Source organism: Homo sapiens, chromosome 3 (assembly GCF_000001405.40).
Source record: "Homo sapiens chromosome 3, GRCh38.p14 Primary Assembly".
NCBI lineage: Eukaryota > Metazoa > Chordata > Mammalia > Primates > Hominidae > Homo > Homo sapiens.
This window is the reverse complement of record NC_000003.12, coordinates 119,027,334-119,047,188: the sequence shown is the minus strand read 5'-3', so window position 1 is coordinate 119,047,188 and position 19,855 is coordinate 119,027,334. Positions and strand designations below refer to the sequence as shown.

Sequence of the window (19,855 nt, the reverse complement as noted above, 5' to 3'; positions counted from 1 at the left end):
TTTTAATTGGAGCATTTAGTCCATTTACATTTGAAGTTAATAGTGTTATGTGTGAATTTGATCCTGTCATTATGATGTTAGCTGGTGATTTTGCTCGTTAGTTGATGCAGTTTCTTCCTAGTCTCGATGGTCTTTACATTTTGGCATGATTTTGCAGCGGCTGGTACCGGTTGTTCCTTTCCATGTTTAGCGCTTCCTTCGGGAGCTCTTTTAGGGCAGGCCTGGTGTTGACAAAATCTCTCAGCATTTGCTTGTCTGTAAAGTATTTTATTTCTCCTTCACTTATGAAGCTTAGTTTGGCTGGATATGAAATTCTGGGTTGAAAATTCTTTTCTTTAAGAATGTTGAATATTGGCCCCCACTCTCTTCTGGCTTGTAGGGTTTCTGCCGAGAGATCCGCTGTTAGTCTGATGGGCTTCCCTTTGAGGGTAACCAGACCTTTCTCTCTCTGGCTGCCCTTAACATTTTTTCCTTCATTTCAACTTTGGTGAATCTGACAATTATGTGTCTTGGAGTTGCTCTTCTCGAGGAGTATCTTTGTGGTGTTCTCTGTATTTCCTGAATCTGAATGTTGGCCTGCCTTGCTAGATTGGGGAAATTCTCCTGGATAATATCCTGCAGAGTGTTTTCCAACTTGGTTCCATTCTCCCCATCACTTTCAGGTACACCAATCAGACATAGATTTGGTCTTTTCACATAGTCCCATATTTCTTGGAGGCTTTGCTCATTTCTTTTTATTCTTTTTTCTCTAAACTTTCCTTCTTGGTTCATTTCATTCATTTCATCTTCCATTGCTGATACCCTTTCTTCCAGTTGATTGCATCAGCTCCTGAGGCTTCTGCATTCTTCACGTAGTTCTCGAGCCTTGGTTTTCAGCTCCATCAGCTCCTTTAAGCACTTCTCTGTATTGGTTATCCTAGTTATACATTCTTCTAAATTTTTTTCAAAGTTTTCAACTTCTTTGCCTTTGGTTTGAATGTCCTCCCGTAGCTCAGAGTAATTTGATCGTCTGAAGCCTTCTTCTCTCAGCTCGTCAAAGTCATTCTCCATCCAGCTTTGTTCCGTTGCTGGTGAGGAGCTGCGTTCCTTTGGAGGTGGAGAGGCGCTCTGATTTTTAGAGTTTCCAGTTTTTCTGTTCTGTTTTTTCCCCATCTTTGTGGTTTTATCTACTTTTGGTCTTTGATGATGGTGATGTACAGATGGGTTTTTGGTGTGGATGTCTTTTCTGTTTGTTAGTTTTCCTTCTAACAGACAGGACCCTCAGCTGCAGGTCTGTTGGAGTACCCTGGAGTGTGAGGTGTCACTGTGCCCCTGCTGGGGGGTGCCTCCCAGTTAGGCTGCTCGGGGGTCAGGGGTCAGGGACCCACTTGAGGAGGCAGTCTGCCCGTTCTCAGATCTCCAGCTGCGTGCTGGGAGAACCACTGCTCTCTTCAAAGCTGTCAGACAGGGACATTTAAGTGTGCAGAGGTTACTGCTGTCTTTTTGTTTGTCTGTGCCCTGCCCCCAGAGGTGGAGCCTACAGAGGCAGGCAGGCCTCCTTGAGCTGTGGTGGGCTCCACCCAGTTGGAGCTTCTTGGCTGCTTTGTTTACCTAAGCAAGCCTGGGCAATGGTGGGCGCCCCTCCCCCAGCCTCACTGCCGCCTTGCAGTTTGATCTCAGACTGCTGTGCTAGCAATCAGCGAGACTCCGTGGAGTAGGACCCTCCGAGCCATGTGCGGGATATAATCTCATGGTGCGCCGTTTTTTAAGCCCGTCGCAAAAGCGCAGTATTCGGGTGGGAGTGACCCGATTTTCCAGGTGCCGTTCGTCACCCCTTTCTTTGACTCGGAAAGGGAACTCCCTGACCCCTTGCGCTTCCCAAGTGAGGCAATGCCTCGCCCTGCTTCGGCTCGTGCACGGTGCACGCACCCACTGACCTGCGCCCACTGTCTGGCGCTCCCTAGTGAAGTGAACCCGGTACCTCAGATGGAAATGCAGAAATCACCCATATTCTGTGTCGCTCACGCTGGGAGCTGTAGACCGGAGCTGTTCCTATTTGGCCATCTGGGCTCCTCCCTTTTGTGGGATTTTATCCGTTCTGCCATTCTCTATTTTTTAAGTGGAGCATTTAGGCCATTTACATTCAGTGTTAGTATTGAGATGTGAGGTACTGTTCTATTCATCATGCTGATTGTTGCTTGAATTCCTTTTTTTAACTGTGTTATTGTTTTATAGGTCCTGTGAGATTTGTGCTTTAAGGCGGTTCTATTTTGGTGTATTTCAGGTTTTGTTCCAAGATTTAGAACTCCTTTTAGCATTTTTTGTAGTGCAAGCTTGTTAGTGGTGAATTCTGTCAGCATTTGTTTGTCTGAAAAAGACTTTATCTCTCCTTCGTTTATGAAGCTTAGTTTTGCTGGATACAAAATTCTAGGCTGATAATTATTTTGTTTAAGAAGGCTACAGATCCTTTTGGCTTGCAGGATTTCTGCTGAGAAATCTGGTGTTAGTCTGATAGCTTTTCCTTTGTATGACAGGTTACCAGATGGTTTTACCTCACAACTCTTAAGATTCTTTTCTTCATCTTAATATTAGATAACCTGTTGACTCTGTGCCTAGGTGATGATCTTTTTGTGATGAACTTACCAGGTGTTCCTTGAGCATCTTATATTTGAATATCTGGATCTCTAGCAAGACCAGGGAAGTTTTCCTCAATTATTTCCTCAAATACTTTTTCCAAACTTTTAGATTTCTCTTCCTCAGGAATACTAATTATTCTTATGTTTGGTCATTTAACATAATCCCAAATTTCTTGGAGGCTTTGTTTATTTTTTAAAAATTCTTTTTTTCTTTACCCTTGTCTGATTGGGTTAACTAGAAAGTCTTATCTTCAAGCTCTGAAGTTCTTTCTTCTACTTGTTCGATTTGATTGCTGAAACTTCCCAGTGTATTTTGCATTTCTCTAAGTATGTCTTTCATTTTCAGAAGTTGTGATTGTCTTTTCTTTATGATGTCTATTTCTCTGGAGACTTTTTCATCCATATCCTGTGTTGTTTTTTAGGTTTCTTTAAGTTGTTTTTCACCTTTCTCTTGTGCCTCCTTGAGTAGCTTAATAATCGACCTTCTGAATTCTTTATTTGGCAATTCAGAGATTTTTTCTTGGTTTGGATTGCTGCAGTGCTAATGTGATCTTTTGGGGGTGTTAATAGAACCTTGTTTTGTCATATTATCAGAACTGCTTTTCTGGTTCCTTCTTTTTTGGGTAGACTGTTTCAGTGGAAAGATCTGGAACTCAAGGGCTGCTGTTCAGATTGTTTTGTCCCATGAGGTGATCCTTTGGATGTGGTACTCTCCTGCTTCCCCTAGGGATGGGGCTTCTTGAAAGCTGGACTGCAGTGATTGTTATTGCCCTTCTGCATCTAGCCACCCAGTGGGGCTAACTGGGCTCCCGTCTGGTATTGGGGAATGCCTGCAAAAAGTCCTATGTTGTGATCCATCTTTAGGTCTCCCAGCCATGGATACCAGAACCTGCTCTGGTGGAGGTGGCAGAGGTGTGTTGTGAACTCTGTGGGAGTCCTTGGTTGCAGTTTTTTGCAACCAAGTTTTTGAATGGTTGTTATGCTAGCATGCTAGCAGTAAAATTGTCATGTGGATGGACTCAGGACCTCTGGTTAGCTAGGGTGTTGCCGGCAATGGAATCAGTTGTTATTTCCTCCTTCTTTGGAGCATGGTTGTGAGAGACATGACTAGCTGGATTTCCTAGGCCAACTAAGAATCCCTAAGCATAGCTGGGAAGGTGACCACATCCACCTTTAAACATGGGGCTTGCAACTTAGCTCACACCCGACTAATCAGGTAGTAAAGAGAGCTCACTAAAATGCCAATTAGGCAAAAACAAGACAGCCAGTCATCTATCGCCTGAGAGCACAGGGGGAGGGAAAATGATTGGCATATAAACCCAGGCATTCGAGCTGGCAACAGCAACCCCCTTTGAGTCCCCTCCCATTTATGGGAGCTCTGTTTTCACTCTATTAAATCTTGCAACTGCACAATCAGGCTAAAGGCTTGCCATTGTTCCTGCATAGCTAAGTGCCCGGGTTCATCCAAATCAAGCTGAACGCTAGTCGCTGGGTTCCACGGTTCTCTTCTGTGACCCACAGCTTCTAATAGAGCTATAACACTCACCACATGAGCCAAGATTCCATTCCCTGGAATCCGTTAGGCCAAGAACCCCAGGTCAGAGAACAAGAGGCTTGCTGCCATCTTGGAAGCTGCCCGCCACCATCTTGGGAGCTCTAAGAACAAGGACCCCCTGGTAACAGTTGTTCTGTTATGAGTTGCTGTAATGGCTTGAGTTGGTTTGCCTCCAGCCAGGAGGTGGTGTTTTCAAGAGAGCACCAGCTGAGGTAGTAGGAGGGGTATATAATCTTGCCCTACATTTGGCAGGATGGGTACTTAGGTTTCTCAGGTGATGGGTAGGGCCATAGAGCTCTCAAGAGCTTATGCCTTTTGTCTTCAGCTACCAGAGTGAGTAGAGAAAAACCATCAGGTGTGGGCACTGTTAGGCAGGTCTGAGCTTAGGCTTTTCTTGGACGGGGCTTGCTGCCACCACTGTGGGGGGTAGGAGGTGGTTCCCAGGCCAATGGAGTTTTGTTCCCAGGGGGATTATGGCTGCCTCTGCTGCATCATACAGGTCACCAGGGAAGTGGGGGAAAGCCAGCAGTGACAGGCCTTACCCAGCTCCCTCATAACCGGCAAGGTCAGTCTCAATCCTGCCATGCCCCAGCAACCATATTGAGTTTATATCCAGTCAGCCTGCAATCAGGGCTTAGATCTTGCCCAAGGCTACAACCCTCCCTGCTGAGAAAACAAGCAGGGCTCTCAGGCTTCGCCCCTCCCTGCCTGCCCACTGAGCACTCCAATGTGCACTATGAGCTTCCTTCACCCTGTGGCCTCTCTCTGATTCTGCTGGCTGCCTTCTCTTCCCCAAGGACCTCTGTCAGATAAGGCCAGGAATGGCTTCTTTGCCTTCAGTGGGCACTTAATAAAATGATCATCTAATTTTTTTCCTTTAACCTCAGTGTGGTGCATTGCATTGATTGTTAAATATTAAACATTACTCTCATGAAATAAATCCAATTGGTGTGATGCATTATCTCATATATATATTAGGGGACTAATGCTCATTTGCATATCTTTGCATAAGAAAAATTGGCCTATTTTCTTTTCTTTTCTCCTATCATTCTTGTCAATATTTGGTATGCAGTATAATGGTAGCATCATAAAATGAGTGGAGTGTTTCATTTTTTCATAGTTGTAAAAGATTGGGTTTGTTTTCGTTTTCTGAACATTTGGTGAAATCTGCTGATAAAATTACCTGGAGCTAGAGTTTTATTTTTAGAAGGATTTTAAACTATTGCTTCAATTACCTTAATTGTACAGGACTATCCACGTTTTCTGCTTATTTTTGAGCAAATGTTGATAAGTTCTATTTTTCTAGGATATTGCTCATTTCCTCCAAATTTTCAGATTTTTTGGCAGAAAATTATTCACATTTTTCTTCTCTTTTAAATATCTGCAGCATATGTAGTAATGTCTCCTTTTTTATTCTTTTTTATTTTTATTTTTTGAGATGGAGTCTTGCTTGTTGCCCAGGCTGGAGTGTGGTGGCATGATCTCGGCTCACAGCAACCTCTCCTTCCTGAGTTCAAGCAATTCTCCCACCTTAGCCTTCAGAGTAGTAGCTGGGATTACAGGTGTGCATTACCACATCTGGCTAATTTTTGTATTTTTAGTAGAGATGGGGTTTCACCATGTTGGCCAGGCTGGTCTCAAACTCTTGACCTCAGGTGATCCACCTGCCTTGGCCTCCCAAAGTGCTGAGATTATAGGCGTGAGCCACCACATCTGGCCACCATTTTTATTCTGATATTATTTGAGGTCTCTCTCATTTTTAATTTTGATTAGTGTCACTGGAATTTTGTTAACTAACATTTTCAAAGTGCAAATATTTGACTGTGTCAATCTTCTGTATTATATATTTGTTAAACATTTTATTGATTTTGCCTCTATATTATTTTCTTCTATTAATACTTCCTTTAGACCTATTTTATTTTATCAAAATTCTTAAGCTAAGTAGTAATTTATTTGTGTTTAGGTTTTCATATTTTCTGTTATAAACATTTGAGGCTTTAAGTTTTCCTTCAAATAGATACTCTAGCTGCATTTTACAGATTTCAATATAAAATATTTTTATTTTCTTCTAGATACACTTTAGTTTCCTTTATGATTTCTTGATTTTGAATTATTTAGAATTGCTTTTTGTAATATCTAAATGTGTGTAAGTGTGTATTTGTTATTGATATCTACCTTAATACCATTGTGGTCAAAGAATGTGTTGTAAATAATTTCAATCCTGTCAGATTTCTTGAGAATTGCTTCATTCATTGATTCATCCATTCAAAATATTTATTCAGTATCTACATGTGTCATGATCTGTTAAAGACACTGAGAATTCAGCAATGAATAAAATAGAGTTCCTGTCCTTGTAGATCATATTGGGTGAAGCAGACAATAAACAAACAAGATTATTAAAATAATTGACTATGTTAATGACAGAATACTAAGAAAAAATACAACGGGGAGAGGGATTTTAAAATGTCTTTTAAATTTTTTATTTTAGAAGGATGATGTTAACTGCCCAAGGGGTTCACCTTGCCTGCTGCCTCAACAGAGCCAATTCATCAAGACAGGGGAATTGCAATAGAGAAAGAGTAATTCACGCAGAGCTGGCTGTGTGGGAGACTGGAGCTTTATTATTACTCAAATCAGTCTCCCCAGACATTCAGGGAGCAGAGTTTTTAAGGATAACTTGGTGGATGAGGGGAAGCCAGTGAGCCAGGAGTGCTGATTGGTTAGGGATGAAATTATAGTGAGTCAAAGCTGTCTTCTTGCACTGAGTCATTTCCTGGGAGGGGGCCACAAGATCAAATGAGACAGTTTATTGATCTGGGTGGTGCCAGCTGATCCATCCATCCTGTGCAGGGTCTGCAAACTATCTCAAGCACTGATCTTAGGAGCAGTTTAGGGAGGGTCAGAATCTTGTAGCCTCTGGCTGCATGACTCCTAAACCATAATTTCTAATCTTGTGGCTAATGTTAGTCCTACAAAGGCAATCTAGTCCCCAGGCAAGAAGAAGGTCTGCTTTGGGAAAGGGCTGTTATCGTCTTTGTTTAAACTATAAACTAAGTTTCTCCCAAAGTTAGTTCAGCCTACGCCCAGGAATGAAAAAGGACAGGTTGGAGGTTAGAAGCAAGATGGAGTAGGTTAAGTTAGATCTCTTTCACTGTCTCCGTCATAATTTTGCAAAGGTGGTTTCAATGGTCAGTTACGACTTAGGTGACACATGAGAAAAGATCTTAAGAAGTGAAAGGAGAGCTATACAAAAACGTAGGGAAAGAACAATTTTAGTGGTCCTGAGGCAAACATGTTCCTGCCTATTCAAGAAACATTGAGGAGGTCATTATGGTGACAGCAGAATGACTAAGGGGAAAAACAGAAGATGTGGTCAGAGAGATAATGGGGGACTAGATCCAGTAGGGTCTTGTGGTAATCAGAATAAGGGCCCCCCACAAATGGGATTCCCCACTTCCTAATCCCCAGAACCTGTGAATATATTACCTCCTATGGCAAAGGGGAATTAACGTTGCTGATGGATGCTGTTCAACTGATCTGGAAATGAGGTCATTCTGGATTATCTGTGTGGGCCCAGTGTAATCACGAGGATCCTTAAATGTGGAAGGAGGTGAGAAGGGCTTGGCCAGATGTTGCTGGATTTGAAGATAGAAGAAGGGGACCATGAGCCAAGGAAAGTAGGTGGGCTCTAGAATCTGAAAAAGGTAAGAAAATGATTCTCCCCGGAACCTCCAGAAAGGAACACAGCCTTGTCCACACCTTGATTTTAGTCTACTGAGAATCATTTTAGACTTCTGACCTCAAGAACTATAACACATTTGTGTTGTTTTACGCCACCAAGTTTGTCGTAATTTGTTATAGCAGCAATAGACAACTAACACGGGCCCTGTCATTTACAGTAAGGACTCATCCTGAGTGATACAGGAAGCCATTGGAAGGTCTTGGACAGACCTGATCTGACTTCATCGGATCACCATGGATGCTGTGTTGAGAATGGACTGTAGATGGATTCCTTCCTTTGTGCAGCCTTTGGCTTTAGTTTTCCATGTTTTATTCATTCAAGATTACAATGGATTCATTTAAGATTATAAAAATATATAATCTCACATTTTTAATAAATCAAGGTCTCTAACCTGTTTTGTTGCTGGAAGTGAAAGTCTGAACTGCACTTTAAATTAAACTTCTATGGAAAACACCTCAGAATTGGAAAATACTGAGGTAACTTCCTATACCCCAATATAAAATCAAGTGAATTAATCTGAAGCATATTACCTTTAATGAAAACTGGTAAAGAAACTTGGCAGAATATTTGAAAATTATATTCCTTATAAAAATGAAAATACAAAAATTTTTCAGGTGACATACAAAATGCTACTTATGCTATTGCCTTTTTCAAGTCCTAAAAAAACCTAGTGGTATTATTTTAAATTTGCTATTAGAATTAATTCAGTAGCATTTCGTTACAATGTTCCCTGCTCAGAGAGTAACTTTACCCAAAAATAAATTAGGGCTTCAAGAAAAAGAGCTAACTTTTCCCAAAATGGATGAAGATGGGAAACTTTGACAATATTCACAACAGTGATAGGGATTGGGCTATGGGGAGGAGGATGGATATTGCTGTTTAGCTCCTTGTAAATCCTATCTAGGAATGGTTGACAGAGGAGTGGGAAGAAACAGATGTAAGAAAGACAACAAGATATCAATATATCTACGTTATGAGTTAATCCAAAATTTGAGAGTGTTGTTTTAAAATATTAAGTGGTCTATTTATGTCAACATACAATAAACACTTGTTGGTTTACTTTCTTTCTTACTGTAATGATGCCACTATTTTGTTTCCCATTCCTTTATTGTCATTTTAGAGCTTTTCTTGACATTTTGCAAAGGGGGAGGGGGAGGGAGAAAAATTCCTCTAAAATTTTACTTCTAAAAGGACCAAACTGTGCTCTAGACTATATGCTGGCTCTAAGCAGCTGGGTTAAAATATATACAGAATGAGTTACTGGCTCAAGCAAGGATCAAACAGGTTTTTCCTAACTTTAAGAATAATGTTCTTATAAAACACTCCATAGACAAATACAGACCAAAACTTAAATGCAATTAACCTTTAATTTATATATATGAATGAAGAGGGATCTGAGGTATTAAAAACTTAAAATAGCTAATTCAAAAATAATTTATACTTGGCATTGGAAATCCTTATAATTCCCTACATCATTTTTCTTTCTTAATTATGTTCCTCCTAAGCTAATAATAAAGTTAATTTTCCATTCTTGAATGCAGATTAACTGATTGTGGAAAGAAGTGGTCCAGCATTTTGATGGGTTGAGGAGAGCCTGCCTAGGATTAAAATGTGAACTTTAGCAGTTGACTTATTTTCACGTCATCAATGTTTTTGAGTCAAAGGTGCCATATAGCAGAGTCTTCTACCAGGATTCCTCATCCTGATCATTCCCCTCTCCACTTCTTTCTTGGTAAGGTAGACCAACTATAACTCTCTCAGAGATGAGGGTGGGGCCAATCTCATCCAAATTTTATAGCTTCTCAGGTGGTGTCTGGGTGTGGTAGTGATCATGGTGGGGCAGAGGTGGGATAAATCTTTAGGAGGCAAGTACAGTGTTACCCTCAGATAGCTTTAAGACACAGTATCCTCCTGTGTGAAGACAGGGTCATCATACATGCCTTACCCATCCCCCCTGGGTTTGCTGTGAAGATTAAATCAGATAATAGGTGTGAAAGCACTTTGAAATTTGTAAAGTGTTACACAAATATAACATATTGTCTCTGTCTTTAGTACTCAGAATACTTAAGGGATTTAAAGAAATCCTTCTGTGGTCGTAAAGCAGATTAGGATAAAAGAGCTGGTGAAACTCATCATTACTAATAAAAAATTACTCAAAGTATATGTCAATGGTATTATCTCTATGAATTTTTTTAAAAACCACACTTTTTGTTTCCTGGGAGAGTGTCCTTGGAAGCCTCTGTGTACAGCACTTGGAGCTTCTAGTACTCCTGATCTGCTTTCTTCTGGTCCACCATCTACCATCTGCCCTCATGCTTCTCAGCAGCTGGATTGCCTCCTGAAATCTGATCATCCTCACTCTCCCTTCAGAAGCCACACTTTTTTTTTTCTATTGAAAGGGCTCCTTTACTGAACTGTGAGCATTGTCCTCTTAATGACTCAGTAGCTCTTGCCTGGCAAGGCAGAAGTATCCTTAGGTGACAAAGAGGCAGAACTCTATCTGCTTATTTATGATAGCACAGATATAGCCCATATGCAATTGGAACTTATTTGGGGTCAGGGGTCATTTTTTTTTTTTTGGTTTAACCTTAAACCTGGTGCCTTACAAAGTGTAGGTACTTGGTAAATAGTTGTTAAATTGATGCGATAAATATATCAGATAACTTGCTTTATCAGAGCTTTAAGCTCAGATTATTAGGTTATTTAAAGGATATTTATTTAAAGGATAAATATTCTGCCTCTATATTTATATCTGGGATTATGGTGACATGAAGAGTTGCTCTCAGTAGCTCCTATCACTTGACCGCTTCCTTGTTTTTCTTCTTATATTGCTTACTCTTATACCCTGCTTAGGACTGGATTAGACTGCAGGAATATGTACAAGAGAGGGTGAGGGATTGAATTGGATGGAAAAAAGAAACTCTAGTCCTTACCCTGGAGTTTAAAAGAATGAGAATGAGCCTCGTGATATCATAGTTGGAAATTTAAATTTGTTATTAATATGAAAAACTCTACTGTCATATCATTTATTTCTTGCCATTAGAGATCTGGTAGGGAATTCTAGCAAGTTGGAAGTAGTGAGCAAAGTTGAGGCATCTCTACTTCATAATCAAAATTTATCCTTTCAGGATATTCTTGTTAAAAGTTATTAACATTTCTTAACATGTTTCATTTTTTTAACCTTAAAAATATAATATCCACATTTTCAAAAAGAAGTACATCCATAACTCCACCATCTTGATATTTTAATTTTACATATATCTTCCAATCCTTGTCCAAATGTATGTTTAAAAAATATTTTACATATTTTTCTTCTGTGCATATTATTTTTGTTTCTGAGTTTCCCTGGGAGGATTGTATTTGCCAGATGAGGGCTCAATTTCTGAATGGCTCCGAGAACCCTAATTTATGCTGCTGTAGAAACTGACCAAAATGGGTTGGCATCCCCTGGGCAGGTATGTCCTCAAATTTAGAAGGCTCAGTTTGGAGGCTGAAGCAGGAAGTGACTATGAGCTGTACAATAAAGAGCAGAGCCCAGTATAAGAGAATAAAGATAGGTTTTACAAGAAAAGATGTAGGTAGATATTTAAGTAAAACAATTTCAGATGCTAGGAAAGTCTTTCTCCCCACCCAACCCAAACAAACAAGAAGCAAAAACAAAAAACCCAACTAAACAACGATTACAATAAATGTACATACCCCACTAGTTAACATGTATACTTAAGGTCAGTTTAAGAAAGCACTAACGTTTAAGCTGGAAAACTTAAAATATTAGAAGTTGACATAAGGTTTACAAAAGGGGCAAGAGAAGATGGCAGTCTCTCTGATAGGAATGGGGAGTTAGGGGCATGGTCCAGCCTCTATCCACTTTTCAAGGAAGAAAGGTGAAAAGGCATCCAGGAAACAGCGCAAAACCAAAACACTGTAAAATTAGGAATTCCTAATTCTGCCAGAGTCAGGTTCTTTCAGATTATTTAGGTTTTATAAGAGAGGACTGAAAGTGAAAAAGCCAAATATAAATTATCCGAAAACTGCAACAGGAAAGACTCTTGCAGGCTCAGAGGAAGGCTGTGGAAAAGTCATTGCTAGAGCTCTCCAGGATGCATCAGGCCGACACCACCTGTTTGCGGAGGGGTTTAGACCAAGGGAGGGGCCCTAACTCCGGCGAGGAGGGCGCCCACCCCTCGGTTCCCGGAGCTGGTGGAGGCGTGCGGGGGAGCGGGCGGCGCGGTGCACAGGTGGCGGGGGCCGCGCCAGCTGCGCGCCGCGCTCTGCTCCGCGGGTGGGCCGCCAGGCGTCGCGCTGGAGCCGCGGTTGCCCTGGAGACCAAGCGGGGCGAGTGGGCGGCGCGGCGAGGAGCCGAGCTGCGGCTGGAGTAGCGGGGCGTGAGTTGGGGGGAGTGGCTCCCCGGACTGCGCGAGGGGTCGGCTAGTCCTGGGGCAGGGCTGGGTGGCACGGCTGGCGAGCCCGGAACGCCTCTGGTCACAGCTCAGCGTCCGCGGAGCCGGGCGGCGCTGCAGCTGCACTTGGCTCGTCTGTGGGTCTGACAGTCCCAGCTCTGCGCGGGGAACAGCGGCCCGGCGCTGGGTGTGGGAGGACCAGGCTGCCCCAAGAGCGCGGAGACTCACGCCCGCTCCTCTCCTGTTGCGACCGGGAGCCGGGTAGGAGGCAGGCGCGCTCCCTGCGGCCCCGGGATGACTTCTCAGCGTTCCCCTCTGGCGCCTTTGCTGCTCCTCTCTCTGCACGGTGAGTAGCTCCAGCCCTTTCTTCCCGGTGGGGCCAGGCCGGGTCGGCGGGCCCGGGGCGAAGCTGTTTGGGGACGGCAAAGAGCCTCCTTGCTTTGCCGAGGGTCGGGAGTCCAACTTTCTCAGGGGCGGCGTTCGTTGCTGCGGCCGAGGCTCGCGCGCACCTGCAGCGGCTGCTTCTGCCGCCCGCGCAGCCCAGGTGTTCCTTGTCAGAGAGGTAACTAAACTCGTCCGGCTACCTCCGGTCCCAGGCCGGGCCCTGACTCTCACCTCGCTGCGCTCTGCGGAATGCAGGATCCTTTTTAGATAACGAACTCCCTTACTCACTGGTCCAGTTAGAAACTGTATTTAGAACCAGTTGTCTTTACTAGGCGGCCCTAGGAAAACTAGAAGTGCTTTTAAAATCATTTGGAAAACTTTATAGCTTTAACGTAACCTTTTAGAAGCCTATACACGTTTTGGCCGAAAATGATCTTTATTTTAAAACTAATTGTATACTGTGCTATACTACAATCGAAAACAAGAATTTATTTACACTCTAGCTTCATCTCCAAAGGACTTAAGTTGGCTCTCAACAATACATAGAATATAACAATATTAGAACAAAATAAATAAATGTCTTTAAATTTCTTGTTAACGGTTTTTAAAACATCTGTTTATAAATTTAGCTTTTAATCTCTGCTTAATCTTTCTTACATTTTCGGTGAATAGCCATCATATTAATTTAGATCCTGATTTTCATCCTATGCAGTGCTGTTTGTTTTTGTGTGTGCATTCTCCTGTGGAATCCAGTTTTCTGTCCCATTTATTGCTGAGATTTACTGAGATTTTTTTTCTGAAGGATGTTATTTAAAAAGCGGGTTCAGTGATTTTGGAACTTTGTGGTTAACCCTGTTTTTTTTCTGGAGACACCAGCATGTTTCCAGTCATTTCATGGCCTTATTCGAACTGATTTTGAAGTAACCTAATACTAGCCAACTTAACTTGTGCAGATTCATTGAATAGGGGAGAAGAGAATACGAAAACTTTTTGTATGTCTTCTCCGTAGAAACTAATGAAGCTGTTATCATCAAAATTAACTTTTCTAGAGTTCAGTAGGTATATTTTTAGTGATGATGTGCACACAATAACATCAATATGTCCATGTTATGAACTTGTGCTTCCAAGTATCTTGTACTGTTACTAGTTTGAGATGGCCAGTTTTTCTCTCTGTCCTACTACTTTTAAGTGTGAAATAAGAGAGTAAATCGGCTTTTTATGCAATCCTTGGACACAGCTCTAAATATTACCAATATTACAAGAACAGCTCAAATTTTTGGTAGAACATTCTATTATTAAAGTTGTATATTATAATAAATGCTCCTCTTTTTGTAAATAGCATTTGTGTATAGTTTGTTTTTGAATTATTAGGCAGTACTTTAAAAGAGTTGATACAATTCGCAGACTCAGCCTTGCAAGGTCATCTGATTTGTTCTTTTTTCTTCAGCAAAACTATTCCCAAGCCATAGAAAAATGTTTTTAAAGACTTCCAAGGACTTCTCAGTTTTGGCAATAACCTGTTATGTAGAGGCATTTTCCACTTTCAAAAACAGTGTTCATTGTTCAACAGATATTTACAGAGCCATCACTCTGTGCTTTTGAGTATCTGGTGGGGAAAGGTGGTGGTGGAATACAAAGACGCGTGTGAGTGTCTGCAGCCCGTAAGGAGTTTGCATTTTTAAAACAGGCTGTAAGCATGCACAAATAATTTATGGTACAGGGAATGTATGATGAGTTCTATTTGTTAATGTAAGTATCAAGTAAGACTTCTTGGAAAAGTTTACTTTTTATCTGGACATTGAATGAATAGGGTATGAATTGGCTCAGATGGGAGTGGATGGGCTTTCTTAACCAAAGGAACAGCCTGAAGGAAGGATGTAAAGTGGAACAGGCAGGGGTATACTCTTGAAAGGCCAAGCTGCTAGAGCAGGAGATGTGTGCAAGGGAGAAAGAGCCAAAAAGTAGTTGGGGGCAAGATAGTAGAGAATCTTGAATGCTGCGTTTGGGCTTTATTCGGCTGGCCATGGAAAAAGTACTGATGTTCAGTTTCCTTACTGTGGGGCGGGGAAGAGGATGAACAGTTAGCACGCCTGTTTGTGCTAGCATACCTGTCTCCAGGAGAATACCTTGCCCTAACCGAATTTAATTCTTGAACTAGTCAAGGGCAAACTTGGTTTGAATGAATTATGGCTCATCCCCAGAATTTTCAATGTGGAATAGCAGGAGGGGTGTATATCTGAACAAAGCTGGTTCCATTACAAAGGGGTAAAGGGAAATGGATGCTAGGTAAATAACCAATAGCAGTGGCCACTACAATGAAATGATACACCAAAGGTAGAAATAGAGGGTCTTTTCAATAAATGAAAGAAAATCGATGTTAATAAATTTCTGTTTCTATTTCTGTTTATTCTGTTTTCTTATTGTTATTTTGTTTTTATTTGTGAAGTAACTTCAAAGGGAATTTGAATTGAAAAGCTGACTTCTATATAGTTCTTCTAATGGGTTAGATATAACTAAAGTGTTTCTCATACTTGTGATTCCTTGAAATAGCAGATAACTTTTCAGAATTTGAGAAAATGTATAAAAAGAAAGAAATGACCACATAAAATGCAATGAAAATGAAAAAAGTCATGAACCTTTTCAGTGTTACCATTATTAAAAATTTATTGTAAAATCCAATTTATCAGCTCTAAATTTCATACTGTAATTGTTTTAGAAGGATTCACCTGTTAGTAAAAATCTGTAGTTTGACCTACATGAAAGATGACAGCTACGGGATGAAAATTTCAGAGATACTAAGCCTAATACACATATATATTCAACATGGACTATTCAGGAAGCAATTTAAATATTAAATTACCAAGCACTTAAAAAGCGTTATGCTTAGAACTGTTGTCAGACACAAGGTAATGATGCAAGGGGTAAAAGTACTTGTTTTGGCTTCCCCTCCCCAGGTGACAGTATGTGGCAGATTTTGAAATGTGTTTTCACACTTTCATAGTGGAGAGATTTATAATGAAAATTCTCATTTGAGTCTTCATACTTATGCCATGTGATTTAGTGTCAAACAAGGTGATGTGCTGGTGCAAAAGATTCTTTAGTTGCAGTGAGTAATACAAAGCAAGGGACAGGCAGTACTTACTGAGTTGGGAGAAAGTTCAGAAAATTCTGGCCTTCCCACTAAAACTTTTCATCCATAACTACTTAGTTAGTTTGTTTATTTATTTATTTATTTGAGATGGAGTCTGGCTTTTGTTGTCCAGGCTGGAGTGCAGTGGCGCCATCTTGGCTCACTGCAATCCCCGACTCCTGGGTTCTAGCAGTTCTCCTGCCTCAGCCTCCCGAGTAGCCAGGATTACAGGCGCATACCACCACACTTGGCTAATTTTTGTATTTTTAGTAGAGACGGGGTTTCACCACGTTGGCCAGGCTGGTCTCAAACTCCTGACCTCAAGTGATTTGCTCACCCCAGTCTCCCAAAGTGCTGGGATTACAGGCCTGAGCCACCGTGCCTGGCCCCATAACTAGTTTATTTAGAATAGGGATTCCACATCTATTGTTATCTAGACTAATGACAATTTTTTATACTCTCTCAACACTGAATTATTTTAGGCAGTTTGGGGAGGGTTTGCTGAATTTCTGTTTTCTAATTTACTTCAAGTGAACACAGTCATCTCAACTTTCTTTGTTTGGTGAGGGCTAGCTGGCACTAACACATCTCATCCCTGCATTTTGAAAACTGCCCCCACACCATCTGGAGGATCTGAAATCTTCTCTTGACCATACTTTGTGAGCAACTGGCTTAAGAGAGGTTGTTGGTTCTTGGGTGGTATTCAAAAAGCCATCTGATTTGAGCTGAGTTTGGTCTTAAAAGTGGAAAGTTAATTAGTTTACTTATTAGTTAAGCCTATCTTACTAAACCATGGAAGGATTTTTTTTCTTTCTGTTAACATTTGGGTAATTAATTTTCTGTGTACCTGGTTTTCTGCCACCCAAGAAAAAGACCACAGTAGTAGTTTGCATTTGTAATGGTTTTAAATTGCAGAAATATGAAGTAAGCCACAGAGAGAAAATTGGTTTCCAATTTGCAAATAATAGACTCAGCCAATGATCTACCGCATCATCATTGCCTTTATCAGATATTATATAGGTACAGTATGGGTCTGCCTCACTCATATATTACAGAAAGAATCATATTTTGATAAGTATAACTAAAATTTTTATTTAGAGTATAGGATGAAACCCATACAAATTTACTGTTGTGGACAAAGTGTATTCAATAAAAAGTTACTTGAAAAAGTCTACTTACTGGTTTGTTTTCATTTAGCAGTTAACTCTGTTGATCTTGAGAGAGATATAAGCTGACAGTATTAGAGGACACTTATATTTAGAAAAGGATTCCTGGAAAGAAGCTGAGATCCTAGAAGGACCGAGTTCAGAAAATTCTTATACCATGTAGAGTTCCTTGGGAAGATGTTCAGAGAATTAGGTCAACGTTAGCAGCCACTAATGGTAGTGTACCAGGGTTTAGGGTTGGAATAGGTGGTTAAAGTGTAATAGATTTGTGGGATTGGAAAGTCAATGCCATTTTTTCACTGAGGGTAACAAATATGTAATAATACAATATGACTTTGTGAATGTAACTCTAATATATTGGGGCCACTTGTAGGCTGGTCTTAAAAGAATCATCAGTTCAATATTTTTAGAAATTTAAGTTTAAATATTTACCAAAGTCTATTGAAGATCCCAACAATGGAAACAGAACAGTGTCCTAATTTAGAGAACCCCTATACTCACTTTTGCCCAAAGTTTCACTGTTCACAGCAGTCACACTCATAAAACCACTCTCTTCTGTATTCCCCTTAATGATTCTTTTTTCTTTTTACTTGTCGTCCTCTCGTTCCACTTTGGAAGATGTTACGTTCCTCTGCTAGTAACATCAGGTTCTTCAAAGGTAATAAATCCAGTCCTGGTTCTTTCCAGTTATTCAGCTCTACCCATTTCAAGGATTGATATTTACAAAAAATTAACCCTGGAGCCAACCAGGCAGACACAGAAATCACCATAGAAGCTGAGCATTGGTGGGGTATGTGGGAGTGTGGGCATAGTTATATGCTAATATTTTCCCCTTGTTTAATGAAGTTAACTGTATAATAAAATTCCCTTTCTCCTCCTGTGCTTGCCCGCTCTCTCTCTCGCATTCTCTCTCTCTCTCGGGTGTGTGTGTGTGTGTGTGTGTGTGTGTGTGTGTGTGTATTCCCAAAAGGCAGTACCATGTCTACCGTGTGTGTGTGTGTGTGTGTGTGTGTGTGTGTGTGTATTATCCCCAAAAGGCAGTACCATGTCTACCATGCTGGGCACTATAGTAATGCTCAGTAGATACTTGTGAATGAAGGTTTACTAATATAGGTGGTACACCTGAGAAGACTGTTGTTTTCTTTTTTTTTCATATTTTAAACTTTTTATTTTGAAATATAGATTCATGGGAGGTTGTAAAGAAATGTACAGAGTGGTCCCATGCACACCCTTCACTCAGCCTCCCCTGACGTTACCATCCCCAAAAACCAGAATACAAAATAAAAACCAGGAAATTGGTGTTGGTACAATCCACAGAGCTTATTCAGATTTCTCTAGCTTTAAGTGCATTTTCTTTTTTAAAGAAAAATAAAATTTTTGTTAAAAATTTCTTTAGGGATTTGGTGTGACTATGTCAGCTTCAACTAATCTTTACACCTTGGTAAATATTTTGTGGAACAGGTGATAGAGATCAATTTTCATAGTTTTTTTTTCAAATTTTATAACTTCTGTGGAAGTTTATTCAAAATTTTAATCCTTACAGATCTTTTGAAATTGATTTTTAGCTTATGTTTAATCCTAAATATTTGAAATATTTTTTCCTAAGGAATTCTGAAGCCTTTGCTTCATGTTGTAAGGAATGATCTTGGACTTTTGGCAATTTCTGTAGAACCTTGAAGTTTACCATTTTCATGTCTGGTATTCTTAGTCCTGAGGGACCTGTATGTTAGAACTAGTCTCCCAAGAAGAGAGATAATTACTTAAAATAACATCTTTTGTAGCCTGAGGCCTCCCTCTTTTTCCCTACATTACTATATACAAAGTACTGGAGACACTTTTCTAGAAATAGGAGCATTAACTATAAATCATCCTTATGTTGGGGGAGTTTGGCAAGACTGGCAGTTGTCTGCTTCTCCTATTCCCTTCTCTCCTCCTGAAGTCTATGTATTTCCATTCATAGTTTATCCCAGCCATGATTTATACCCTTATGGACCACACTCTCAGTCTGCAGTATTTATACATCTCTCAAAATATCAAAAGTCATTTACTAATCATAAATCCTCCACTATATGCTTAAAGATGGCTTAAATAACATCAAACATCAAGGCTTAATACTTAGTCTTTTTTTTCTTTGGGCCAGGTTCATGACTATCAGGTATACAACTTCTGTTAGCTCCCATGGGTCAAGATCATTAGCCAGAACACAGAATACATGGCAAAAACAGAGGCTGCAGTACTGTAGTAAGCATCACTTCTTGCAGGACATATTCAAATCAGACTAACATTTTAGGCTTTTATTGGTTAAGTACACTTATGTACTTATTTATTGGTACAGTTCACTTATGTATATTGCCCATGTGTAAATATAGATAGCCTTGTTGATCAAGACTTGACAGTATGCAGGGCATGTGAAAAATTGGTTAACAGTGTACTGCAAAGATTCTTAAACTTCCTGGCCTTAAAGATTATTGGGGCTTTAAAGATTATTGAGGACTGCAAAGAGCTTTAGTTTATGTGGTTTATGTCTATTGATACTGTATTAGAAATTAAAAGTGAGAAAATTTAAAAGAATCTATTAATCTGTTTAGAAACAAAGCATCCATTACACATTGACATAAATGTTTTTATGACAAGTAACATATTTTTTCCCCAAAGCTGAATAATATTAGTGAGAGAAGTGGCACTTTCACATTTTTGGGACCTTCTTTAATGTCTGGCTTATTAGAAGCCAGTCTCCTGTCTGCTTTCTCCTGTCTGCTTTCGCATCTCATTTATTGTGATATCCCATCTTGGTTTGGTGTAAAATGTGAAGAATATCTGGTCTCACACTGATATATAGTATTTTGACAGCATTTTCAGATAA

The 19,855-nt window shown here is 40.3% G+C and overlaps 1 protein-coding gene across 11 annotated transcripts in view, besides 3 other annotated features; it reads left to right on the top strand.

Moving 5' to 3' along the window:
* IGSF11 (immunoglobulin superfamily member 11) overlaps positions 1-19,855 on the top strand; it is a 245,464-nt gene that overhangs the window by 98,832 nt on the left and 126,777 nt on the right. For 8 of the 11 annotated variants that reach the window (NM_001353324.2, NM_001353321.2, NM_001353323.2 and 5 more), the window contains exon 1: positions 12,343-12,658. The exons of the other annotated variants lie outside the window; for them this stretch is intronic. In NM_001353324.2, the coding sequence (NP_001340253.1) occupies positions 12,607-12,658 (52 nt within the window). In that variant the 5' untranslated portion in view covers positions 12,343-12,606. Of the gene's footprint in view, positions 1-12,342; positions 12,659-19,855 lie in introns of those variants that run through there. 11 annotated transcript variants of the gene reach the window in all.
* Positions 1,157-1,736: an enhancer, noted in NCBI's record as "H3K27ac-H3K4me1 hESC enhancer chr3:118764300-118764879 (GRCh37/hg19 assembly coordinates)". NCBI's record gives its function as "activates a minimal SCP1, AML or CMV promoter by ChIP-STARR-seq in naive H9 embryonic stem cells {active_cell/tissue: H9 hESC(naive)}" and the evidence as "EXISTENCE:reporter gene assay evidence [ECO:0000049][PMID:30033119]".
* Positions 1,737-2,317: an enhancer, noted in NCBI's record as "H3K27ac-H3K4me1 hESC enhancer chr3:118763719-118764299 (GRCh37/hg19 assembly coordinates)". NCBI's record gives its function as "activates a minimal SCP1, AML or CMV promoter by ChIP-STARR-seq in naive H9 embryonic stem cells {active_cell/tissue: H9 hESC(naive)}" and the evidence as "EXISTENCE:reporter gene assay evidence [ECO:0000049][PMID:30033119]".
* Positions 12,063-12,422: a silencer, noted in NCBI's record as "silent region_14624". NCBI's record gives its function as "represses an Ori minimal core promoter by ATAC-STARR-seq in GM12878 lymphoblastoid cells {active_cell/tissue: GM12878}" and the evidence as "EXISTENCE:reporter gene assay evidence [ECO:0000049][PMID:35858748]".